The sequence below is a fragment of the Homo sapiens genome, chromosome 11 (genome assembly GCF_000001405.40).
Source record: "Homo sapiens chromosome 11, GRCh38.p14 Primary Assembly".
Taxonomy (NCBI): Eukaryota; Metazoa; Chordata; class Mammalia; order Primates; family Hominidae; genus Homo; species Homo sapiens.
The window spans coordinates 63,049,033-63,076,949 of NC_000011.10; positions in this window are offsets into that span (position 1 = coordinate 63,049,033).

Consider the following 27,917-nt stretch of genomic DNA (forward strand, 5'->3'; position numbering starts at 1 on the left):
TGGGTATATACCCAATAATGGGATTGATAGGTTGAATGGTAGTTCTGCTTTTAGCTTTTTGAGGAATCACCATACTGCTTTCCACAATGTTTGAACTAATTTACACTCCCACCAACAGTGTATAAGTGTTCCATTTTCTACTGAGTCTTGCCAGCATCTGTTATTTTTTGACTCTTTAGTAATAGCCATTCTGACTAGTATGAGATAGTATCTCATTGTGGTTTTGATTTGCATTTCTCTAGTGATAAGGGATACTGAGCTTTTTTCATATGCTTCTTGGCTGTACTTCTTTTGAGAAGTGTCTGTTCATGTCCTTTGCCCGCTTTTTAATGGGGTTGTTTGTTTTTCCCTTGTAAATTTTTTTAATTCCCTTATAGATAATGGATATTAGACCTTTGTCAGATGCGTAGTTTGCAAAATTTTTCTCTCATTCTGTAGACCGTCTGTTTACTCTGTCAAGAGTTTCTTTTGCTGTGCAGGAGCTCTTTAGTTTAATTAGATCCCACTTATCAATTTTTGCTTTCATTGTGATTGATTTTGTTGTCTTTGTCATGAAATATTTGCCGGTTCCTGTGTCCCGGTTGGTATAGCCTAGGTTGTCTTCCAGGGTTTTTATAGTTTTAGGTTTTACATTTAAGTCTTTAATCCATTTTGAGTTGATTTTTGTGTATAGTGAAAGGAAGGGGTCCAGCCTCGGTCTTCTGCATATGGCTAGCCAGTTATCCCAGCATCATTTACTGAATAGGGAGTCTTTTCCCCATTGCTTGTTTTTGTCAGCTTTGTTGAAGATCAGATGCTCATAGATGTGTGGCCTTATTTGTGGGCTATTTTGTTCCATTGGTCTATGTGCCTATTTTTGTACCAGTACCATGCTGTTTTGGTTACTGTAGTCTTGTAGTATAGTTTAAAGTTGGGTAACATGATGCCTCAAGCTTTGTTCTTTTCGCTTAGGATTACCTTGGCTATTCAGGCTCTTTTTTTGGTTCCATATGAATTTTAAAATAGTTTCTTCTAGTTCTGTGAAGAATGTCATCGATAGTTAGATAGGAATAGCATTAAATCTGTAAATTGCTTTGGGCAGTATAGCCATTTTAATAATACTGATTCTTCCTATGAGCAGGGGATTTTTTTCCAAGGGCCAAATGTCCCATGTTTATTTACATATGAAATGTGTTTCATACAATTATGATGGATGGAGTACATAACACCTGACAGCAGCAAGACTGTTCGAGGAACTGAATTTTGACTACAGTGTATCATGCAAGTATCTATATATACACAAAAGAATTCCTTTTCTTAAAAAAAGAGTACAAAACATGTTCAGGGATAAATACAAGATATAAAATGCAAAAGAAAACACAAAACAAAACCAAAAAATAGAACTCTCTCAGAGAACTATAAATGGAAGGGACAGAAGAGTACCTCTGCTGCATTATAATAAAGCAGAGCTACCGATGTTAAATATACTTCTTGAAATGGCTGAACTAAACCTGGGTGGCTCAGTGCTTAAGGTAATGGCCAATTGCAATACACAGGTGGCTGCATTGATAAGTCAGTGGTTGAAATTGTGCATCCCGACTCTAAGTACCAGAACGTTTGGCAGTAGCATCCAGAACAGGAAACGCCAACTCTTTTGACAGCAAAGAGTTAGGTCAGCTGATTTTTTCTGTCAAGAGCCAGAGAAATACTTGATATTCTTAGTTGTGTTTCTGTAACAGTTAATAAATTACATGACAAAAACCTGACTATATAAATCTATTGGTCTAACTACGTATTTGTAACTTTTATAGTAGTCCAGCCCTTTCGTTACTTTCCCTCCTTGTGCTCTTAAAGCCAGGCTTGCAGATCTGCCTAGAAAACAAGTCCTATTTTTTTCTTTAGAATAGCCTTCCCCATTCCTCAAAATGGAACTGAGGAAATCAGCATTCCTTATTAGATTCCTGGCTTCAGTTTTTATCCACGGCTGGGAAAGGAGCGACCTGCAAGGTGAGCAGGGGATGTTTTGCCATTTGTTTGTGTCTTCTTTGATTTCTTCAAGCAGTGTTTTGTAATTCTCATTGTAGAGATCTTTTACCTCCCTGGTTAGCTGTATTCCTAGGTATTTTATTCTTTTTGTGGCAACTGTGAATGGGATTGCATTTCTGATTTGGCTTTCAGTTTGGTTGTTGTTGGTGTATAGGAAAGCTAGTGATTTTTGTACATTGATTTTGTAGCCTGCAACTTTGCTGAAGTCATTTATCAGGTGAAGGAGCTTTTTGTCCAAGACTACGGTTTTCTAGATATAGAATCATGTTGTCTGCAAACAGAGATAGTTTGACTCCCTCTCTTCTTATTTGGATGGCCTTTATTTCTTTCTCTCACTTGATTGCCCTGGCTAGGACTTCTAATACTATGTAGAATAGAAATGGTGAAAGAGGGCTTCCTTGTCTTGTGCCAGTTTTCAAGGGGAATGTGAAGCTAAATTATTTCAACACTGCACAAAAGAGCCTCTATAAACTGGTTTCTTGGTCCTTAAAGAATCATTCAATTTTGACAGCATCCTTGCTTTCTGGAAATATTAAGTTTATGTTGGATCTTTTTTCTGTTTCCAAAGTTTAGGTAAACTTCCTCCAATAAGCCCTGGTTCCTCCAGTAAGCCCTGGTTCCTTCTGTGGTGAGCAGTATTCATGCTTAAAATCTGGGCTTAGGGAGTAGCAAAAATGTTTGTGGTAGGCAAAAGTTCTGCTGCTGTTGGGCTACTTTTAGTGATCAAACTGGAAAAGATATTTCTTTTTTTTAAGGTTAGGAACTCACATAGTGTTTATCTTTTGTAACATGCTCTCAAAGAGGTCAATTGTTCAAAATATTAGAGGGCTTCTTCAGTTTTCCAAAAGACATTTCTTAATCCTTCTTATTGAAAATATTGTCTTGAAAGTCCTAATGTTTCCTCATGCAGGCTGCATGAAGGAACCAGGGCTTTATTTCTTTCTCTTGCTTGATTGCTCTGGCTAGGACTTCTAATACTATGTAGAATAGAAATGGTGAAAGAGGGCTTCCTTGTCTTGTGCCAGTTTTCAAGGGGAATGTGAAGCTAAATTATTTCAACACTGCACAAAAGAGCCACTGCTTCATAAGGCTCAAGCCATAAACCTTGGCAGTGTTCATGTGGTGGTAAGTCTGCAGATGTACAGAATGCAAGAGTGGTGCAGGCTTGGCAGCTTCCACCTGGATTTCAGAGGATGTATGGCAACGCCTGGGTGCCCAGGCAGAAGCCTGCCGCAGGGGTAGAGTCCCCACAGAAAGCCTCTACTACGGCAGTGCCAAGGGAGAATGAGGGATTGGAGCCCTCACACAGTCACTACTGGGGCACTGCTTACTGGACCTGTGGGAAAGGTGCTGCTCCCCTCCAGACCCCAGAATTGTAGAGCCACTGACAGTGTGCACTCTTGAAGCTGCGTGCATTCTACTCCAACTGGTAAGAGCAGACACAGGGGATATGCCCAGCAAAACCACAGGGGTGGAGCTGCCCAAGGCCTTGAGAGCTTACCATTTGCACCTGTGTGTCCAGAATGAGGGACATGGAGTCAAAAATTATTTGGGAGTTTTAAGACTTAATGTCTTCTCTTCTTGGTTTCAGACTTGGGTGGGGCCTGTTAACCCTTTCTTTTGGCCAATTTTTCCCTTTTGAAATGGGAGTGTTTATCCAATGCCTGTACCACCATTGTATTGTGGAATAACTTATTTTTCAATTTTACAGGCTCACGGCTATAAGGAACTTGACTTGAGTCTCAGATGAGACTTTTAACTTTGGAATTTTGAGTTGTTGTTGGAAGGAGTTAAGATTTTGGGGGACTATCAAGAATAATTGTATTTTGCAATGTCAGAAGGACATGAGATTTGGGGAGCCAGTGGCAGAATGACATAGTTTGGATGATTGTCCCTTCCAAATCTCATGTTGAAATATGATCCTCATTGTTGAAGGTGGGGCCTAGTAGGAAGTGTTTGGGTCATGGAGGCGGATCCTCCATGAATGTCTTGGTGCCCTCTTCATGGGTAATGAGTAAGTTCTCACTTTACTAGTTCATGTGAGAGCTGAGTGCCAAAACGATCCTGGCACCTTCTCCCCTCTCTCTTGCCCGCTCTCTCGCCATGTGACATGCCTTCTCCCCCTTCATCTTCCACTATGATTGTAGACTTCTTGAGGCCCTCACCAGCAGAAGGTGATGGCAGTATCATTCTTGTACAGTTGGCAGAACTGTGAGCCAAAATAAGCCTCTTTTCTTTATAAATTACCCAACCTCAGGTATTCCTTTATAGAAAGGCAAAATGAACGAATACATCTGATAATTAGTGATGTTTTTCATTTTTAGTATGTTTGTTGGTCACTTATATGTCTTCTTTTGAAAAATATCTGTTTTTGCCCTTTGTCTACTTTTTAATGGGGCTATTTGTTAGATTGTGGATATTAACCCTTTGTCAGATGCATAATTTGCAAATATTTTTTCCTATTCTGTAGGTTGTCTTGTTTACTCTGTTGCTTTTTTCCTTTGCTGTGCAGAAGTATTTTTTTGTTTAATTAAGTCTCATTTGTCTATTTTTGTTTTTGTTGCAGTTGCTTTTGAAGACTTGGTCATAAATTCTTTTCCTAGGCTAGGTACAGAAGAATTTTTCTTAGGTTTTCTTCTAAGAATTTTATAGTTTCAGATCTTACATTTAGGTCTCTAATCCATCTTCAGTTAATTTATATATATGGTGAAAAGTTTTGGTTCAGTTTCATTCTTCTGTATATGGCTATCCAATTTTCCCAGCACCATTTATTGAATAGGATGTCCTTTCCCCAATGTATATTTTTGCTGACTTTGTCAAAGATCAATTGATTGTAAGTATGTGGCTTATTTCTGGGTTTTTCATTCTGTTACATTGATCTATGTGCCTATTTTTTGTACCAGTACCATGCTGTTTTGGTTACTATAGCATTGTTGTATAATTTGAAGTCAGGTAATGTGATGCCTCCAGCGTTATTCTTTTTGCTTAGGATTTCTTTGGCTATTTGGGCTCCTTTTTGGTTCCGTATGAATTATAGGATTGTTGGTAGAAAATGACATTGGTAATTCGATAGATATTACATTGAATCTGTAGGTTGCTTTGGGCAGTATAATCATTTTAACAATATTGGTTCTTCTAATCCATGAGCATGGGATGTTTTTCAATTTGCTTGTGTTGTCTATGACTTCTTTCATCAGTGCTTTGCAGTTCTCCTTGCAGAGATCTTTCACCTCCTTGTTTAAATATATTCCTAGGTATTTTTTGCAGCTATTGTAAATGAGATTGCTTTCATGATTTGGTCCACAGCTAGATCATTATTGGTGTATAGAAATCCTACTGATTTCTGCACATTAATTTTGTGCCCTGAAACTTTACTGAATTTATCAAAGCTGAGAGTTTTTTTGGTGAAGTCTTTAAGGTTTTCTAGATATAAGATCATATAATCAGGGAACAGGGATAATTTGACTTCTTCTTTTCCATTTGGATGGCTTTTATTGTTTTTCTCTTGCCTGATTTCTCTGGCAAGGACTTCTAGTACTATGGTGAATAGGAATGGTGAGAGTGGACACCCTTGTCTTGTTCCAGTTCTTAGAGGGACTACCTTAAACTTTTCCCCATTAAGAATGAGTTTCCCTACTGCAGGAAAAAGGCATTGAAAAAAAAGAGTGAGTTGCCTGTGGGTTTGTCATATATTGCTTTTATTATGTTGAAGAATATTCCTTCTATGGCTAGTTTCTTGTGGATTTTTACTATAAAGGGATGCTAAATTTTACAGAATTTTTTTGCATCTATTGAGATGACCATTTGGTTTTGTCCTTAATGCTGTTTATGTGATGTATCACATTTATTGATTTGTGTATATTGAATCATTCTTGCATCCCTGGGAAAACCTCACCTGACCAGGGTGTGTTATCTTTTGGATGTGCTGTGGGATTTGATTTGACAGTATTTTGTTGAGGATTTTGCATCCTATGTTCATCAGGGATATTGGTCTGTAGTTTTCTTGTTTTATTGTCCTTGTCTGGTTTTGGTACCAGTATGATACTGGCTTCATAGAATGAGTTAGGGAGAATTCCCTCTTCCTCAATTTTTTGGAGTAGTTTCAGGAGAATTGACGTTAGTTCTTTGTATGTTTGGCAGATTTGGCTGTGAATATGTCTGGCCCAGGGCTTTTTATTTTCCCCTTTTGGAGATTTTTCGTTATTATTGGTTCAGTCTTGCTACTTATTATTGATTTGTTCAGAAGTTTTATTTCTTCCTGGTTCCATCTCAGGAGGCCATATGTTTCCAGGAATTTATTCATTTTCTGTATGTCTTCTAGTTTATGAGCACATAGTTGTTCATAATAGTCTCTGATGGTCTTATTTTCTTCTGCTAACTTTAAATTTTATTTGATCTTGGTTTTTCTAGATGCTTGAGTTGTGAAATTAGGTTGTTAATTTGTGATCTTTCTACTTTTTTGATGTAGGGATTTAATGCTACAAACTTCCCTTTTAGCACTGCTTCTGCTATATTTCACAGGTTTTCATATGTTGTGTTTTCATTTTCATTTATTTAAAAGAATTTAATTTTCTTCTTAATTTCTTCATTAATTCAGTGATAATTCAGGAGCATGCTGTTTAATTTCCATGTATTTGTATAGTTTTTGAAGTTCCTCTTGGCATTGTCTCCTAGCTTTATTCCACTGTGGTCTGAGAAGATACTTGATATGATTTTGATTTTTCAAAATTTATTTGTTTGTTTTAGAGATGGGGGTCTCACTTTGTTGCCCAGGCTAGAGTGCAGTTGCACATTCATAGCTCACAGCAGCCTTAAACTCCTGGGCCCAAGCAACCTTCCTGCCTCAGCCTCCTGAGTAACTAGAACTTCAGGCATGTGCCACCATGCCTGGCTATTTTTAAATATTTTTTTGTAGAGATGGGGCCTCCTATGTTGCCCAGGTTGGTCTCTAATGCCTGACTTCAAGCAGTCCTGCCTTGGTCTCCCAAAGTGCTGAGATTATAGTCATGAACCACTGTGCCTGGCCTAAACATTTGTTAAAACTTGTTTTTTGGCCTCATGTGGTCTATCTTGGAGGATGTTCTATGTTCTGATAAAAAGAATGTATATTCTGTAGTTGTTTGGTAGAATGTTCTGTAAATGTCTATTAAGTTCATTTGGTCTAAAGTCCAATTTAACTGTAATGTTTCTTTATGAATTTTTGTCTCAATGATCTGTCTAGTGCTGTTAGTAGGATGTTGAAGTCCCCCACAATTATTGTATTGCTGTCTGTTTCTTTCTTTAGGTATAGTAACATTTTGTTTTGTGAATTTGGGTGCCCTGATGTGGGGTGCATATATATTTGGAAGTATTATATCCCCTTGCTGAATGGATCCCTGTATAATTACATAATGACCTTCTTTTTAAAAATAATAATAATAATTATTATTTTTTAAGTTCTGGGGTACATGTGCAGGATGTGCAAGTTTGTTATGTAGGTAAACCTGTGCCATGGTATTTTTCTGCACCTATCAACCATCACCTAGGTATTAAGCCCAGCATGCATTATCTCTTTTCCCTAATGCTCTCACCTCCAACCTTCCCTGGCAGGCTCCAGTAAGTGTTGTTCCTCTCTCCGTGTCTATGTGTTCTCATTGTTTAGCTCCCACTTATAAGTGAGAACATGTGGTGTTTGGTTTTCTGTTCTGTTTGCTGAGAATAATGGCCCCCAGCTTCATCCATGTCCCTGCAAAGGACATGATCTCATTCCTTTCTATGGGTTCATAGTTTTCTGTGGTGTATATGTACCACATTTTCTTTATCCAGTCTATCACTGATGGGCATTTGAGTTGATTCCATGTCTTTGCTATTGTGAATAGTGCTGCAGTGAACATACACATGCATATATCTTCATAATAGAATAATTTATATTCCTTTGGGCATATACCAGTAATGGGATTCCTGGGTCAAATGGTATTTCTGGTTCTAAATCTTTAAAGAATTGCCACACTGGCTTCCATAATGACCTTCTTTGTCTTTCTTTTCTTTTTTTCCTTTTTACTGCTTTTGATTTAAAGTCTTCTTCTTCTTTTTTTTTTTTTTTTGAGACAGAGTCTCATCCCTTTGCCCAGTCTGGAGTGCAGTGGCAGAATCATAGTTCACTGTAGCCTCAAACTCTTGGGCTCTAGGGGTCCTCCCACCTCAGCCTCCTGAGTGGGTAGCACTACAGGTGCATGCCAGAACATCCAGATAGTCTTTAAAATATTTCACAGAGAAGGGATTTCCTTATGTTGCCAGGCTGATCTTGAACTCCTGGATGCAAGCAATCCTCCTGCCTTGGCCTCCCAAAATTTGGGATTAAAGGCATGCACCACTGCACCTAGCCTAAAATCTGTGTATTGTTCCATTTTCACACTGCTAATAAAGACATAACGGAGACTGGGGAAAAAAGAAGTTTAACGGACTTACAGTTCTGCATGGCGGGGGAGGCCTCACAATCATGGCAGAATGCAAGGAAGTGCAAGTCACATCTTACATGGTTGGCAGCAGGCAAAGACAGAGAGCTTGTGCAGTGAAACTCCTCTTTATAAACCCATCAGATCTTGTGAGTCTTATTCACTATCAGCATGAGAAGACTACGTGAGTATCATGAGCAGTATGAGAAAGACCCAACCCCATCATTCAATTACCTCCCACTGAGTCCCTCCCATGACATTTGGGAACTGTGGGAGTTACAATTCAAGATGAGATTCGGGTAGGGACACATCTAAACCATATAATTCCCTCCCTGGCCCTCTCCAAATCTCCTGCCCTCAAATTTCAAAAGCAATCATGCCTTCCCAACAGTCCCCCAAAGTCTTAACTCATTTCAACATTAACTCAAAAGTCCACAGTCCAAAGTCTTATCCAAGACAAGGCAAGTCCCTTCCACCTATGAGCCTGTAAAATCAAAAGCAAGTTAGTTACTTCCTAGATAATGAAGGTACAGGCACTGGGTAAATATAGCCATTCCAAATGGGAGAAACTGGCCAAAACATAGGGGCTACAGGCCTCATACAAGTCCAAAATCCAGCGGGGCAGTCAAATCTTAAAGTTCTAAAATGATCTCCTTTTATTCTATGTCTTGCATCTGGATCACGCCAATGCAAGAGGTGGGTCTCCATGGTGTTGGGCAGCCCTGCCCCTGTGGCTTTACAGGGTACAGCCTGCCTTCTGGCTGCTTTCACGGACTGGTATTGAGTGTCTGTGGCTTTTCCAGGTGCGTGGTGCAAACTGTAGGTGGATTTACTATTATGGGTTCTGGAGGACAGTGGCCCTCTTCTCACAGCTCCACTAGGCAGTGCCCCAGGTATCATGCAAGTATCTATATATACACAAAAGAATTCCTTTTCTTTTATTTTTTTATTATTATACTTTAAGTTTTAGGGTACATGTGCACAATGTACAGGTTAGTTACATATGTATACATGTGCCATGCTGGTGCGCTGCACCCACTAACTCGTCATCTAGCATTAGGTATATCTCCCAATGCTATCCCTCCCCCCTCCCCCCACCCCACAACAGGCCCCAGAGTGTGATGTTCCCCTTCCTGTGTCCATGTGTTCTCATTGTTCAATTCCCACCTATGAGTGAGAATATGCGGTGTTTGTTTTTTTGTTCTTGCAATAGTTTACTGAGAATGATGATTTCCAATTTCATTCATGTCCCTACAAAAGACGTGAACTCATCATTTTTTATGGCTGCATAGTATTCCATGGTGTATATGTGCCACATTTTCTTAATCCAGTCTATCATTGTTGGACATTTGGGTTGGTTCCAAGTCTTTGCTATTGTGAATAATGCCGCAATAAACATATGTGTGCATGTGTCTTTATAGCAGCATGATTTATAGTCCTTTGGGTATATACCTAGTAATGGGATGGCTGGGTCAAATGGTATTTCTAGTTCTAGATCCCTGAGGAATCGCCACACTGACTTCCACACTGGTTGAACTAGTTTACAGTCCCACCAACAGTGTAAAAGTGTTCCTATTTCTCCACATCCTCTCCAGCACCTGTTGTTTCCTGACTTTTTAATGATTGCCATTCTAACTGGTGTAAGATGATATCTCATTGTGGTTTTGATTTGCATTTCTCTGATGGCCAGTGATGGTGATCATTTTTTCATGTGTTTTTTGGCTGCGTAAATGTCTTCTTTTGAGAAGTGTCTGTTCATGTCCTTTGCCCACTTTTTGATGGGGTTGTTTGTTTTTTTCTTGTAAATTTGTTTGAGTTCACTGTAGATTCTGGATATTAGCCCTTTGTCAGAAGAGTAGGTTGCGAAAATTTTCTCCGATTTTGTAGGTTGCCTGTTCACTCTGCTGGTAGTTTCTTTTGCTGTGCAGAAGCTCTTTAGTTTAATTAGATCCCATTTGTCAATTTTGGCTTTTGTTGCCATTGCTTTTTGCGTTTTAGTCATGAAGTCTTTGCCCATGCATATGTCATGAATGGTATTGCCTAGGTTTTCTTCTAGGGTTTTTATGGTTTTAGGTCTTACAGTTAAGTCTTTAATCCATCTTGAGTTAATTTTTGTATAAGGTATAAGGAAGGGGTCCAGTTTCAGCTTTCTACACATGGCTAGCCAGTTTTCTCAATACCATTTATTAAATAGGGAATCCTCTCCCCATTGCTTGTTTCTGTCAGGTTTGTCAAAGATCATATGGTTGTAGATGTGTAGTGTTATTTCTGAGGCCTCTGTTCTGTTCCATTTGTTTGTATCTCTGTTTTGGCACCAGTACCATGCTGTTTTTGTTACTATAGCCTTGTAATATAGTTTGAAGTCAGGTAGCATGATGCCTCCGGCTTTGTTCTTTTGGCTTAGGATTGTCTTGGCTATGTGGGCTCTTTTTTGGTTCCATATGAAATTTAAAGTAGTTTTTTTCTAATTCTGTGAAGAAAGTCAGTGGTAGCTTGATGGGGATAGCATTGAATGTGTAAATTACTTTGGGCAGTATGGCCGTTTTCACAATATTAATTCTTCCTATCCATGAGCATGGAATGTTTTTCCATTTGTTTGTGTGCTTATTTCCTTGAGCAGTGGTTTGTAGTTCTCCTTGAAGAGGTCTTTCATGTCCCTTGTAAGTTGTATTCCTAGGTATTTTATTCTCTTGTAGCAATTGTGAATGGGAGTTCACTCATGGTTTGGCTCTCTGTTTGTCTATTATTGGTGTGTAGGAATTCTTGTGATTTTTGCACATTGATTTTGTATCCTGAGACTTTGCTGAAGTTGCTTATCAGCTTAAGGAAATTTTGGCTGAGACGATGGGGTTTTCTAAATATACAATCATGTCATCTGCAAACAGAGACAATTTGACTTCCTCTTTTCCGAATTGAATACCCTTTATTTCTTTCTCTTGCCTGATTGGCCTGGTCAGAACTTCCCATACTATTTTGAATAGGAGTGGTGAGAGAGGGCATCCTTGTCTTGTGCTGGTTTTCAAAGGGTATGCTTCCAGTTTTTGCCCATTCAGTAAGATATTGGCAGTGGGTTTGTCATAAATAGCTCTTATTATTTTGAGATACATTCTATCAATACCTAGTTTATTGAGAGTTTTTAGCATGAAAAGCTGTTGAATTTTGTCAAAGGCCTTTTCTGCATCTAGTGAGATAATCATGTGGTTTTTGTCATTGGTTCTGTTTATGTGATGGATTACCTTTATTGATTTGCATGTATTGAACCAGCCTTGCATCCCTGGGATGAGGCCAACTTGATCCTGTTGGATAAGCTTTTTGATCTGCCACTGGATTCAGTTTGCCAGTATTTTATTGAGGATTTTTACATCAGTGTTCATTAGGGATATTGGCTTAAACTTTTTTTGTTGTTGTTGTGTCTCTGCCAGGTTTTGGTATCAGGATAATGCTGGCCTCATAAAATGAGTTAGGGAGGAGTCCCTCTTTTTCTATTGTTTAGGATAGTTTCAGAAGGAATGGGACCAGCCCCTGTTGGTACCTCTGGTAGAATTCAGCTGTGAATCCATCTGGTCCTAGATTTTTTTGGTTGGTAGGCTATTAATTACTGTTTTAGTTTCAGAACTTGTTATTGATCTACTCAGGGATTTGACTTCTTCCTGGTTCAGTCTCAGGAGGGTGTACGTGTCCAGGCATTTATCCATTTCTTCTAGATTTTCTAGTTTATTTGTGTAGAGGTGTTTATAGTATTCTCTGATGGTAGTTTGTATTTCTGTGGGATCGTTGGTGATATCCCCTTTATCATTTTTTATTGCATGTATTTGATTCTTCTCTCTTTTCTTCCTTATTGGTCTGGCTAACAGTCTATCTATTATGTTGATCTTTTCAAAAAACCAGCTCCTGGATTCATTGATTTTTTTTTATGGGTTTTTCATGTCTCTGTCTCCTTCAGTTCTGCTCTGATCTTAGTTATTTCTTGTCTTCTGCTAGCTTTTGAATTTGTTTGCTGTTGCTTCTCTAGTTCTTTTAATTGTGATGTTAGGGTGTTGATTTTAGATCTTTCCTGCTTTCTCTTGTGGGCTATAAATTTTCCTCTACACACTGCTTTAAGTGTGTCCCAGAGATTCTTGTACGTTGTGTCTTGTTCTCACTGGTTTCAAAAAACATCTTTTTTTTTTTTTTTTTTTTTTTTTTTGAGACCATCTTGCTCTGTTGCCAGGCTGGAGTGCAATGGCGTGATCTCAGCTCACTGCAACCTCCACCTCCTGGGTTCAAACAGTTCTCCTGCCTCAGCTTCCCAAGTAGCTGCAGGCATGCACCACCATGACTGGCTAATTTTTGTATTTTAGTAGAGATTGGGTTTCACCACGTTGACCAAGATGGTCACGATCTTCTGACCTTGTGATCTGCCTGCCTCGGCCTCCCAAAGTGCTGGGATTTTGGGCATGAGACACCACACCCGGCCTCAAAGAACATCTTTATTTCTACCTTCATTTCATTATTTACCCAGTAGTCATTCAGGAGCAGGTTGTTCAGTTTCCATGTAATTGTGCAGTTTTGAGGGAGTTTTTTAATCCTGAGTTCTCATTTGATTGCACTGTGGTCTGAGAGACTGTTTGCTATGATTTTTGTTCTTTTGCATTTGCTGAGGAGTTTTTTTACTTCCAATTATGTGGTCAATTTTAGAATAAGTGCAATGTAGTGCTGAGAAGAATGTATATTCTGTAGATTTGGGGTGGTGAGTTCTGCAGATGTCTATTAAGTCCACTTGGTCCAGAGCTGTGTTCAAGTCCTGAATATCCTTGTTAATTTTCTATCTTGTTGATCTGTCTAATATTGACAGTGGGGTATTAAAATCTGCCACTATTATTGTGTGGGAGTCTAAGTCTCTTTGTAGGTCTCTAAGAACTTGCTTTATGAATGTGGGTGCTACTGTATTGGGTGCATATATATTTAGCATAGGTAGCTCTTCTTGTTGCATTGATCCCTTTACCATTTTGTAATGCCCTTCTTTGTCTCTTTTGATCTTTGTTGGTTTAAAGTTTGTTTTATCAGAGAGTAAAATTGTAACCCTTCTTTTTTTTTTTTTGCTTTCCATTTGCTTGGTAATTCTTCCTCCATCCCTTTATTTTGAGCCTATGTTTGTCTTTGCACATGAGATGGGTTTCCTGAATGCAGCACACTGATGGGTCTTGACTCTATCCAATTTTTTGGATAAAGTCTTTCTTCTAATTGGGATATTTTCCCATTTACAGTTAAAGTTAATATTGTTATGTGTGAATTTGATCCTGTCATTATGATGCTAGCTGGTTATTTTGCCTGTTAGTTGATGCAGTTTCTTCATAGCATTGATGTTCTTTACAATTTGATATGTTTTTGCAGTGGCTGGTGCCGATTGTTCATTTCCACATTTAGTGCTTCCTTCAGGAGCTCTTGTAAGGCAGGCCTGGTGGTGACAAAATCTCTCAGCATTTGCTTGTCCATAAATGATTTTGTTTTTTTGAGGTGGAGTCTCGCTCTGTCACCCAGGTTGGAGTGCAGTGGTGCGATCTCGGCTCACTGCAAGCTCCGCCTCCCGGGTTCATGCCATTCTCCTGCCTCAGCCTCCCGAGTAGCTGGGACAACAGGTGCCAGCCACCACACCCAGCTAATTTGTTTTTTTGTATTTTTAGTAGAGACGGGGTTTCACTGTGTTAGCCAGGATGGTCTCAATCTCCTGACCTCGTGATCTGCCCACCTTGGCCTCCCAAAGTGCTGGGATTACAGGTGTGAGCTACCGCGCCTGGCCAAGAATTTTATTTCTCCTCCATTTATGAAGCTTAATTTGGCTGGATATGAAATTCTGGGTTGAAAATTCTTTTCTTTAAGAATGTTGAATATTGGCTCCCACTCTCTCCTGGCTTGTAGGGTTTCTGCTGAGAGATCTGCTATTATTCTGATGGGCTTTCCTTTGTGGGTAACCTGACCTTTCTCTGGCTGTCTTTAACATTTTTTCCTTCATTTCAACCTTGGCGAATCTGACGATTATGTGTCTTGGGGTTGCTCTTCTCGAGGAATATCTTTGTGGTGTTCTCTGTATTTCCTGAATATGAATGTTAGCCTACCTTGCTAGGTTGGGGAAGTTCTCCTCGATAATATCCTGAAGAGTGTTTTCCAGTTTGGTTCCATTCTCCCCATCACTTTCAGGTACACCAGTCAAATGTACATTTGGGATTTCTAAATAGTCCCATATTTCTTGGAGGCTTTCTTCATTTCTTTTCACTCTTTTTTCTCTAGTCTTGTCTTCTCACTTTATTTCATTGAGTTGATCTTCAATCTCTGATATCCTTTCTTCCACTTGATCAATTTGGCTATTGATACTTGTGTATGCTTTACAAAGTTCTCGTGCTGTGTTTTTCAGCTCCATCAGGTCATTTATATTCATCTGTAAACTGAGTATTCTAGTTAGCAATTCATCTAATCTTTTTTCAAGGTTCTTAGCTTCCTTGCATTGGGTTAGAACATATTCCTTTAGCTTGGAGGACTTTATTACCCACCTTCTGAAGCCTACTTGTGTCAATGTGTCAAACTGAATTTGCCAACCTCTGTCCAGTTTTGTTCCCTTGCTGGCGAGGAGTTGTGATCTTTTGGAGGAGAAGAGGTGTTCTCCTCCAAAATTTCAAAGGTTTTTGAAATTTTCAGCCTTTTTGCACTGTTTTCTCCCCATCTTCATAGATTTATCTACCTTTGGTCTTTGATGTTGGTGACCTTCGGATGGGGTCTCTAAGTGGACATCCTTTTTGTTGGTTTTGATACTCCTCCTTCATGTTTGTTAGTTTCCTTCTAACAGTCAGGCCTCTCTGCTGCAGATCTTGTGGAGTTTGCTGGAGGTCCACTGCAGACCCTGTTTGCATGCACTCCAGACCCTGTTTGCGTGCCCCACCCTGCTTCAGCTCGCCCTCTGTGGGCTGCACCCACTGTCCAACCAGTCCCGATGAGATGAACTGGGTGCCTCAGCTGGAAATGCAGAAATCACCTGCCTTCTGTGTGGATCTCGCTGGGATCTGCAGACCAGTGCTGTTCCTATTTGGCCATCTTGCCAGCTCTCCTTGATCCTGTGATTTTTCTTTTAAATTCTCTTTGTGTAGTGTACCATATTTATTGACTTGCATATGTCAAACCATCCCTGCATCCCTGGTATAAAACCCACTTAATCATAGTGGATTATCTTTTTTATATGCTGTTGTATTCAGTTTGCTAGTATTTCATTAAGGATTTTTGCATTTATATTCTTCAGGGATATTGGTCTGTAGTTTTCTTTTTTGGTTATGTCCTTTCCTGGTTCTGGCATTAGGGTGATACTGGCTCCATAGAATGATTTAGAGAGGATTTCTTCTTTTCTATTTTGTGAACTAGTGTCAATAGAATTGGTACCAATTCTTCTTTGAATGTCTGATAGAATTCAGCTGAGAATCTGTCTTGTTTCTATTTCTTCCTTGTTTAATGTAGGAGGGTTGTAGATGTCCAGGAATTTATCCATCTCCTCTAGGTTTTCTAGTTGATGCATGTAAAGGTGTTCATAGTAGCCTTGAATGATCTGTTGTATTTCTCTGGTATCCATTATAATATCTCACCTTTCATTTCTAATTGAGCTCTAATGGTCTATCGTTTTTATTTATCTATTTATTTATTTTTTAATTTATCTATTATAAATAGATAATATTTATAATAGATATTATAGAGAATATCTATTATTTATATCGGTTTATTATGTTATTCATATTTATCTATTTTATTTATCTATGTTTTTTATTTTTATTTTATTTTATTTTTTATATTCTCAATATGATTTTTTTTATTACACTTTAAGTTTTAGGGTACATGTGCACAACGTGCAGGTTTGTTACGTATGTATACATGTGCCATGTTGGTGTGCTGCACCCATTAACTCGTCATTTACATTAGGTATATCTCCTAATGCTATCCCTCTCCCCTCCCCCAACCCCACAACAGGCCCCAGTGTGTGATGTTCCCCTTCCTGTGTCCATGTGTTCTCATTGTTCAATTCCCACCTATGAGTGAGAACATGCAGTGTTTGTTTTTTTGTCCTTGCAATAGTTTGCTGAGAATGATGGTTTCCAGTTTCATCCATGTCCCTACAAAGGACATGGACTCATCATTTTTTATGGCTGCATAGTATTCCATGGTGTATATGTGCCACATTTTCTTAATCCAGTCTATCATTGTTGGTCATTTGGCTTGGTTCCAAGTCTTTGCTATCGTGAATAGTGCCACAATAAACATACGTGTGCATGTGTCTTTATAGCAGCATGATTTATATTCCTTTGGGTATATACCCAGTAATGGGATGGCTGGGTCAAATGGTATTTCTAGTTCTAGATCCCTGAGGAATCGCCACACTGTCTTCCACAATGGTTGAACTAATTTACAGTCCCACCAACAGTGTAAAAGTGTTCCTATTTCTCCACATCCTCTCCAGCACCTGTTGTTTCCTGACTTTTTAATGATTGCCATTCTAACAGGTGTGAGATGGTATCTCATTGTGGTTTTGATTTGCATTTCTCTGATGGCCAGTGATGATGAGCATTTTTTCTTGTGTCTGTTGGCTGCATAAATATCTTCTTTTGAGAAGTATCTGTTCATATCCTTCGCCCACTTTGATGGAGTTGTTTGTTTTTTTCTTGTAAATTTGTTTGAGTTCTTTGTAGATTCTGGATATTAGCCCTTTGTCAGATGAGTAGATTGCAAAATTTTTCTCCCATTCTGTAGGTTGCCTGTTCACTCTGATGGTAGTTTCTTTTGCTGTGCAGAAGCTCTTTAGTTTAATCAGATCCCATTTGTCAATTTTGGCTTTTGTTGCCATTGCTTTTGGTGTTTTAGACATGAAGTCCTTGCCCATGCCTATGTCCTGAATGGTATTGCCTAGGTTTTCTTCTAGGGTTTTTATGGTTTTAGGTCTAAGATTTAAGTCTTTAATCCATCTTGAATTAATATTTGTATAAGGTGTAAGGAAGGGATCCAGTTTCAGCTTTCTACATATGGCTAGCCAGTTTTCCCAGCACCATTTGTTAAATAGGGAATCCTTTCCCCATTTCTTGTTTTTGTCAGGTTTGTCAAAGATCAGATAGTTGTAGATGCTTGGTAGTCTTACTGAGGGCTCTGTTCTGTTCCATTGGTCTATATCTCTGTTTTGGTACCAGTACCATGTGGTTTTTGTTACTGTAGCCTTGTAGTATAGTTTGAAGTCAGGTAGTGTGATGCCTCCAGCTTTGTTCTTTTGGCTTAGGATTGACTTGGCGATGTGGGCTCTTTTTTGGTTCCATATGAACTTTAAAGCAGTTTTTTCCAATTCTCTGACGAAAGTCATTGGTAGCTTGATGGAGATGGCATTGAATCTATAAATTACCGTGGGCAGTATGGCCATTTTCACAATATTGAATCTTCCTACCCATGAACATGGAATGTTCTTCCATTTGTTTGTATCCTCTTATATTTCATTGAGCAGTGGTTTGCAGTTCTCCTTGAAGAGGTCCTTCCCATCCCTTGTAAGTTGGATTCCTAGGTATTTTATTCTCTTTGAAGCAATTGTGAATGGGAGTTCACTCATGATTTGGCTCTCTGTTTGTCTGTTATTGGTGTATAAGAATGCTTTTGATTTTTGCACATTGATTTTGTATCCTGAGACTTTGCTGAAGTTGCTTATCAGCTTAAGGAGTTTTTGGGGCTTGCCCTTTTTCTTTCCAAGGATCTGAAGTGCTCTTGAATTCATTTTCTTTTGAGGTAATATTTCACTTAATTAGGGTTCACAGTTAGTGTTACCTATCATTGAAACCCATTACAAATGTTTATTTATTAATGATAATCTGTAATGAGATTTTACATATCTAATCTTTGAAACTCTCTTTTCACACAGGCAGGCGCTAAATACTGCTATTACTGGTAAATGCTGATATTAATCCATGAGAATACATATTGCTTGGAAGATATTTATGGAGTTCTATTAGAGTGTTCTCTTGATATTAGTTTGCGTGAAAGCTCCTCAACAGCATAGCTAAATGGATAGTTAAACATAGAAATTTCCTTAGCAATTTGCAATGAGATATGAAAAGTGTTGCTGAGCTATAATTTGAACAAAAAAAATACATCTGCTGTAAATTTGTGTGAAAGTACAACTCTTGCTTCTTGCTCTGACATTTGACAGCACAGGAAGTATATAAAAGAGTTGATACTTGTGATTCAACAAATATTAGTTGTCATTGGAGTGACTTTAGATTAGTGTAAATTTACTTGTAAGTGATGTTCATCTTATAATTTTAGGTTGAACTCATAAAGAAACATTACCAAGTTCACAGCATAAGCTAATTTCCAAAGACATTCTGTGTTTTATAATAGAGGATGGTTTTCTTCATTCAGAAAAACTTAGAACTTTGCTCAAAGCTGAAACATTGTGATAAAATTTACTATGGCTAATCTTTGGATTAGCAGGAATATATGACCGTTAGTGAGGAGAAAAATTAATGAAGAAGAAATAGATAACTTAAGCAGCCTTATATATCTACCAAAGAAATAAAAGTTTGTAGTTAAGACATTACAAAATTGTAGTGTTAAAAAAGACAATACAGAACAACAAACAAAACAAAATAAAAAATTACAGGACCACATAGATTCACTGTTGAATTCTACAAAAAGTTTAAAGAAGAAATAATTTCAATTCTACACACATTCTTTCAGAGAAGAAAGTCGTTTGAAACTAATCTGTGAGGCCATAATTCACTCTGATATAAAAATGAGATGAAAATATTTCAAGAAAAGGAAACTACAAACCAGTAACTCATGAATATGAATGTGAAATATTTCAGTATAATTTTAGAAAACTGTTATGGAATAAATGCTTGGGTGCTCCCAAAACTCACATGCTGAAACTCTAACCCCACAAAGTGATGGTATTAGGAGGTGGAGCCTTTGATAGAGAATTAGTTCATGAGGATTCTGCCCTCACATATGGGATTAGAGCCCTTATAAGAAGAGAGAAAAGAGCTTGCTTTGTCTGTTCCCTCTCTTGGCCATATGAGGATACAAGAAGACAACTGTCTGTGAACCTGGAAGAGTGCTCTCACCGGACATCAGATCTGCTTCTGCCTTGATCTTGGACTTTTCTGCATCCAGAATTGTGAGAAATAAATTTTGCTTGTTGTTTAAACCACCTAGTCTATGGCGTTCTTTTATAGCAGCCCGAAGTGACTAAGACAAAAACCTATCCAACATTGTATAAAGATAATATATCATGTCCAAATAAATGTTTTTTGCTGACTTATAAGGGTGTCTAAACACTTAAAAATTAACCACTGTAATTTTCCAGATTAGGAGATTAAAAAGATAGTAGATCTGACAAATTACAACTTTTTTTTTTTTTTTTTTTTTGAGAGGGGGTCTCACTCTGTCGCCTAGGCTGGAGGGAGTGCAGTGGTGTGATCTCAGCTCAATGCAGCCTCTGCTTCCCGGGTTCAAGCAATTCTCCCACCTCAGCCTCCCAAGTAGCTGGGATTACAGGGGTGTGCCACCACACCTGGCTAATTTTTGCATTTTTAGTAGAGACGGGGTTTCACCATGTTGGCCGGGCTGGTCTCAAACATCTGACCTCAGGTGATCTGCCAACCTTGGCTTCCCAAAGTGCTGGGATTATAGGCATGAGCCACTGTGCCCAGCCTATGACATCTTTTCTTGATAAAAAATTAAAAAAATAAACTAAACAGATGCTGGTGAGACTGTGGAGAAAAGGGAATGCTTATACACTGCTAGTGGGAATGTAAATTAGTTCAGCCACTGTGGAAGGCAGTTTGGAGATTTCTCAAAGAATTTAAAACAGAGCTACCATTTGACCCAGCAATTAAATTACTGGGTATAAACCCAAAAGAAAATAAATCATTCTACCAAAAATACATACGTACTGGCATGTTTATTGCTGTACTATTCACAATAGCAAAGACATGGAATCAACTCAGGTGCCCATCAATGGTAGATTGGATTGAGAAAATGTGGTCTATTTGTGAGATTTTGGTGCATGCATCACCCAAGCAGTATACACTACACCCTATTTGTAGTCTTTTATCCCTCACCCCCTTCCCACCCTATCCCCCTGAGTCCCCAAAGTCCATCGTGTCATTCTTACCCATGTAACCATACAACACCTGTTCCCCAATAACTTTTGGAAATAAAAAAATTAAAGAAAAAGCTTTATGGACAAAGCACATTGTATCCCAAACAGACAGACTTAGCAATAAGTGAGTTAACTGATTAGTAAACCACAAATGAAGATATGGCTGTAGATTTACATGGGCCATTTTGATTTGTTCTGTTGTTTGATTAACTCATCCTAATAACAGCTTTTGAATTGTTGGGTGTCATTAAAGAAATTTAAAATATTGTGCATAGTACATACAATTATATTTCTCCATCACTATCTGCTCTTCATCAAGTCTAAGCATAAAAATACGCAAGCTTACCTGTTTCTTCAGGTCATCATTTCCTTATGTGAACTCTTGTGTCACAGAAAACTTACATTAAATAAATTTGTATGCTAAAAAAAGTGGTACACATACACTATGGAATATTATGCAGCATAAAAAGAATGAAAGAATATCTTTTGCAGCAACATGGATGGAGCTGGAAGTCATAATCCTAAGCAAATTAACACAGAAACAGAAAACCAAATATATGTTCTCACAAGTGGGAGATAAGCAATGAACACACATGGATATAAACATGGGAACAACAGACGCTGTGTATTACTAGAGGGTTGGCGGGTTAAAAACTAACTATCGTGTACTATGCTCACTACCTGAGTGACGGGATCCATACTGCAAACCTCAGTAACATGCAATAGTCCCATGTAACAAATATTCATATATACCCCTTTTATCTAAAATAAAAGCTGAAATGAAAATTTCAACATTGTAGGAATAAAAAGGAATTCTTCAAACTGATAAAGGGAATGTAAAGAAGACCTACAGATAACATCATACTTAACGCTGAAGTACTGAATTCCTTCTCCATCAAAGATCAGGAATAAAGCAAGAATTTTTAGTTTCATCTTTTTCTATTCTACATTGTTCTGGTGTTTCTTACCAGTGCAATAGGCAAGGTTAAAAAAAAAAAGGGCATGGGGATTGGAAAGAAAGCTTTCTTTATAGGCAGATGACAGGAACTAGCATAGCATGTTGCACAACATCAATAAGTGTTTGCTGAAGGAATAACAATTGTATTAAAAAGTTTGATGAAAATGCCATGCTGTTATAACACACTTTATGTTATACTTCCCCTAGTATTGTATGAGTACCTATTTCATTGCATTTTACCCACTTTGAGAATGAATAGTACATTAAAAAATCCTTGTTCCTTTGTGAAATGCAAATTTTTATTTCATTTTAGTGTACATTTCTTTGATCACTACTAAATTTGAACACCTTTTCATATTTTTCACGTATTTATTATTTATGTGGCCTTTTCCCCTGAAAATTACTCGTTCTTGCTCTTTGCCTGTTTTTGTACCGAAGTATATAATTTTAATCCTAATGATATGTTAAATATGTACACACAAATATATGTGTACATTTTGAAATCACTTATATCAATTATCCTTTAGTTTTTGATGTTTATATTTTTAAATGATTCCTATTAGTTGTTTAAAATATAAAGCCAGAAAGAATGCAAAGAAAAAACAATAAAATTTTATCACCAAAGGAAACCAGTGTCATCAGTTTTGTGAATTCATTTCCAAAGGGTCAATTAAAACTATTGATTACATTATCTTTCAATTTATAAGAGATTTCTGGTGCCAAAAATTTTATATATTAAATGTTTATACAAGCGGACTTGAAGGAGTTATAAAAAATGGCATTTAAAAAATAAAAATAAAAATATAAATGTTATTTTTTTAACATAGACTCTGTCAAATCCAAGACACTTTTGTGAGAGATGATACCAGCCATTTGGCCCTTCTATAGAGAATTGAGGTCCTGAGAATGTAAACATGGCGATGCAGTGTTTTTTTTTTTTTCCACCTTATTAACTGAGGAAAATGGATGCCTCTCAAATATTTTCTAAGATTAGGCAACAAAAAAGAAGTCAGAAGAAGCTAAATCAGGATGGTAAGGTGGATGCCTAATAATTTCCCATTGAAACTCTCACAAAATTCTTTTTTGATGACAGAAATGAGCAGGAGCATTGTCATGGTGGAGAACTCTCTGGTGAAGCTCTCCTGGGTGCTTTTCTGCTAAAGCTTTGGCTTTCTCAAAATACTCTCATAATAAGTTGATATTATTGTTCTTTGGCTTTCTGGAAAGTCAGCAAGCAAAATGCTTTGAGCATCCCAAAAAACTGTTACCATGGCCAGGCACAGTGGCTCATGCCTCTAATCCCAGCACTTTGGGAGACTGAGGCAGGTGGATCATGAGGTCAGGAGTTCAAGACCAGCTTGACCAACATGGTAAAACCTCGTGTCTACTAAAAATACAAAAATTAGCTGGGCATGGTGGTGGATGCCTGTAATCCCAGCTACTCCAGAGGCTGTGGCAGGAGAATCATTTGAACCTGGGATGGGGAGGTTGCAGTAAGCCGAGATTGCACCATTGTACTCCAGCCTGGGTGGCAGAAGGAGACTCCATCTCAAAACAAACAAACCAAAACCAAAACCAAACAAACAAAAAACCTGTTGCCATGAACTTTCACATTTGACTGATCTGCTTTTGCTTTGACTAGACCACTTCCACCTCTTGATAGCCATTGCTTTGATTGTGCTTTGTCTTCAGGATCATACTGGTAAAGCCATGTTTCATCTCCTGCTACAATTCTTCAAATAAATGCTTCAGGATCTTGATCTCACTTATTTAAAATTTCCGTTGAAGGCTCTGCTCTTGTCTGCAGCTGATCTGGGTGGAATGGTTTTGGCACCCATTGAGTGTAAAGTTTGATCAGCTTTAATTTTTCAGTCAGAATTGTGTAACCGGAACCAGCGGATATGTCTGTTGTGTCAGCTATTGCTTCTGCTGTTAATCATTGGCCCTCTTCAGTTAGAGCACTGTATTAGTCCTTTCTCATGCTGCTAATAAAGACATACCTGAGACTGGGTAATTTATAAAGGAAAGAGGTTTAACGGATTCACAGTTCCACATGGCTGGGAAGGCCTCACAATTATGGCAGAAGGTGAGAGGAGCAAAGTCTTGTCTTACATGGGAGCAGGCAAGAAGAGAATGAGAACCAAGTGAAAAGGGAAACCTCTTATAAAACCATCAGATCTTGTGAGACTTACTACCACGAGAACAGTATGAGGGAAACTGACCCCATGATTCAATTATTTCCCACTGGGTCCCTTCCACAACACATGGGAATTATGGGAGCTACAATTCAAGATGAGATTTGGGTGGGGACACAGCCAAACCATGTCAGAAACCAACAAGATAAATTATTTTATTTTATTTTATTATTATTATACTTTAAGTTTTAGGGTACATGTGCACAATGTGCAGGTTAGTTACATATGTATACATGTGCCATGCTGGTGTGCTGCACCCATTAACTCATCATTTCGCATTAGGTATATCTCCTAATGCTATCCCTCCCCACTCCTCCCACCCCACAACAATCCCCAGAGTGTGATGTTCCCCTGCCTGTGTCCATGTGTTCTCATTGTTCAATTCCCACCTATGAGTGAGAACATGCGGTGTTTGGTTTCTTGTCCTTGTGATAGTTTACTGAGAATGATGATTTCTAATTTCATCCATGTCCCTACAAAGGACAAGAACTCATCATTTTTTATGGCTGCATAGTATTCCATGGTGTATATGTGCCACATTTTCTTAATCCAGTCTATCATTGTTGGACATTTGGGTTGGTTCCAAGTCTTTGCTATTGTGAATAGTGCCACAATAAACATATGTGTGCATGTGTCTTTATAGCAGCAAGACTTATAGTCCTTTGGGTATATACCCAGTAATGGGATGGCTGGGTCAAATGGTATTTCTAGTTCTAGATCCCTGAGGAATCGCCACACTGACTTCCACAATGGTTGAACTAGTTTACAGTCCCACCAACAGTGTAAAAGTGTTCCTATTTCTCCACATCCTCTCCAGCACCTGTTGTTTCCTGACTTTTTAATGATGGCCATTCTAACTGGTGTGAGATGGTATCTCACTGTGGTTTTGATTTGCATTTCTCTGATGGCCAGTGATGGTGATCATTTTTTCATGTGTTTTTTGGCTGCATAAATGTCTTCTTTTAAGAAGTATCTGTTCATGACCTTCACCCACTTTTTGATGGGGTTGTTTGTTTTTTTCTTGTAAATTTATTTGAGTTCATTATAGATTCTGGATATTAGCCCTTTGTCAGACGAGTAGGTTGCGAAAATTTTCTCCCATTGTGTAGGTTGCCTGTTCACTCTGCTGGTAGTTTCTTTTGCTGTGCAGAAGCTCTTTAGTTTAATTAGATCCCATTTGTCAATTTTGGCTTTTGTTGCCATTGCTTTTGGTGTTTTAGACATGAAGTCCTTGCCCATGCCTACATCCTGAATGGTAATGCCTAGGTTTTCTTCTAGGGTTTTTATGGTTTTAGGTCTAAGATTTAAGTCTTTAATCCATCTTGAATTAATATTTGTGTAAGGTGTAAGGAAGGGATCCAGTTTTAGCTTTCTACATATGGCTAGCCAGTTTTCCCAGCACCATTTATTAAATAGGGAATCCTTTCCCCATTTCTTGTTTTTGTCAGGTTTGTCAAAGATCAGATAGTTGTAGATATGCAGCGTTATTTCTGAGGGCTCTGTTCTGTTCCATTGATCTATATCTCTGTTTTGGTACCAGTACCATGCTGTTTTGTTTACTGTAGCCTTGTAGTATAGTTTGAAGTCAGGTAGCATGATGCCTCCGGCTTTGTTCTTTTGGCTTAGGATTGACTTGGCGATGCGGGCTCTTTTTTGGTTCCATATGAACTTTAAAGTATTTTTTTCCAATTGTGTGAAGAAAGTCATTGGTAGCTTGATGGGGATGGCATTGAATCTATAAATGACCTTGGGCAGTATGGCCATTTTCATGATACTGATTCTTCCTACCCATGAGCATGGAATGTTCTTCCATTTGTTTGTATCCTCTTTTATTTCATTGAGCAGTGGTTTATAGTTCTCCTTGAAGAGGTCCTTCACATCCCTTGTAAGTTGGATTCCTAGGTATTTTATTCTCTTTGAAGCAATTGTGAATGGGAGTTCACTCATGGTTTGGCTCTCTGTTTGTCTGTTATTGGTGTATAAGAATGCTTGTGACTTTTGTACATTGATTTTGTATCCTGAGACTTTGCTGAAGTTGCTTATCAGCTTAAGGAGATTTCGGGCTGAGACAATGGGGTTTTCTAGATATACAATCATGTCGTCTGCAAACAGGGACAATTTGACTTCCTCTTTTCCTAATTGAATACCCTTTATTTCCTTCTCCTGCCTAATTGCTCTGGCCAAAACTTCCAACACTATGTTGAATAGGAGTGGTGAGAGAGGGCATCCCTGTCTTGTGCCAGTTTTCAAAGGGAATGCTTCCAGTTTTTGCCCATTCAGTATGATATTGGCTGTGGGTTTCTCATAGATAGCTCTTACTATTTTGAGATATGGCCCATCAGTACCCAATTTATTGAGAGTTTTTAGCATGAAGAGTTGTTGAATTTTGTCAAAGGCCTTTTCTGCATCTATTGAGATAATCATGTGGTTTTTGTCTTTGGTTCTGTTTGTATGCTGGATTACATTTATTGATTTGTGTATATTGAACCAGCCTTGCATCCCAGGGATGTAGCCCACTTGATCATGGTGGATAAGCTTTTTGATGTGCTGCTGGATTCGGTTTGCCAGTATTTTATTGAGGATTTTTGCATCAATATTCATCAAGGGTATTGGTCTAAAATTCTCTTTTTTGGTTGTGTCTCTGCCAGGCTTTGGTATCAGGATGATGCTGGCCTCATAAAATGAGTTAGGGAGGATTCCCTCTTTTTCTATTGATTGGAATAGTTTCAGAAGGAATGGTACCATTTCCTCCTTGTACCTCTGGTAGAATTCGGCTGTGAATCCATCTGGTCCTGGACTCTTTTTGGTTGGTAAGCTATTGATTATTGCCACAATTTCAGATCCTGTTATTGGTCTATTCAGAGATTCAACTTCTTCCTGGTTTAGTCTTGGGAGAGTGTATGTGTCGAGGAATTTATCCATTTCTTCTAGATTTTCTAGTTTATTTGTGTAGAGGTGTTTGTAGTATTCTCTGATGGTAGTTTGTGTTTCTGTGGGATCGGTGGTGATATCCCCTTTATCATTTTTTTATTGCATCTATTTGATTCTTCTCTCTTTTCTTCTTTATTAGTCTTGCTAGTTGTCTATCAATTTTGTTGATCCTTTCAAAAAACCAGCTCCTGGATTCATTAATTTTTTGAAGGGTTTTTTATGTCTCTATTTCCTTCAGTTCTGCTCTGATTTTAGTTATTTATTGCCTTCTGCTAGCTTTTGAATGTTTGCTCTTGCTTTCCTAGTTCTTTTAATTGTGATGTTAGGGTGTCAATTTTGGATCTTTCCTGCTTTCTCTTGTGGGCATCTAGTGCTATAAATTTCCCTCTACACACTGCTTTGAATGTGTCCGAGAGATTCTGGTATGTTGTGTCTGTGTTCTCATTGGTTTCAAAGAACATCTTTATTTCTGCCTTCATTTCGTTATGTACCCAGTAGTCATTCAGGAGCAGGTTGTTTATTTTCCATGTAGTTGAGTGGTTTTGAGTGAGTTTCTTAATCCTGAGTTCTAATTTGGTTGCACTGTGGTCTGAGAGAGTTTGGTATAATTTCTGTTCTGTTACATTTGCTGAGGAGAGCTTTACTTCCAACTATGTGGTCAATTTTGGAATAGGTGTAGTGTGGTGCTGTAAAAAATGTATATTCTGTTGATTTGGGGTGGAGAGTTCTGTAGATGTCTATTAGGTCCGGTTGGTGCAGAGCTGAGTTCAATTCCTGGGTATCCTTCTTAACTTTCTGTCTCGTTGATCTGTCTAATGTTGACAGTGGGTTGTTAAAGCCTCCTATTATTATTGTGTGGAAGTCAAGTCTCTTTGTAGGTCACTCAGGACTTGCTTTATGAATCTGGGTGCTCCTGTATTGGGTGCATATATATTTAGGATAGTTAGCTCTTCTTGTTGAATTGATCCCTTTACCATTAAGTAATGGCCTTCTTTGTCTCTTTTGATCTTTGTTGGTTTAAAGTCTGTTTTATCAGAGACTAGGATTGCAACCCCTGCCTTTTTTTGTTTTCCATTTGCTTGGTAGATCTTCCTCCATCCTTTTATTTTGAGCCTATGTGTGTCTCTGCCTGTGAGATGGGTTTCCTGAATACAGCACACTGATGGGTCTTGATTCTTTATCCAATTTGCCAGTCTGTGTCTTTTAATTGGCGCATTTAGTCCATT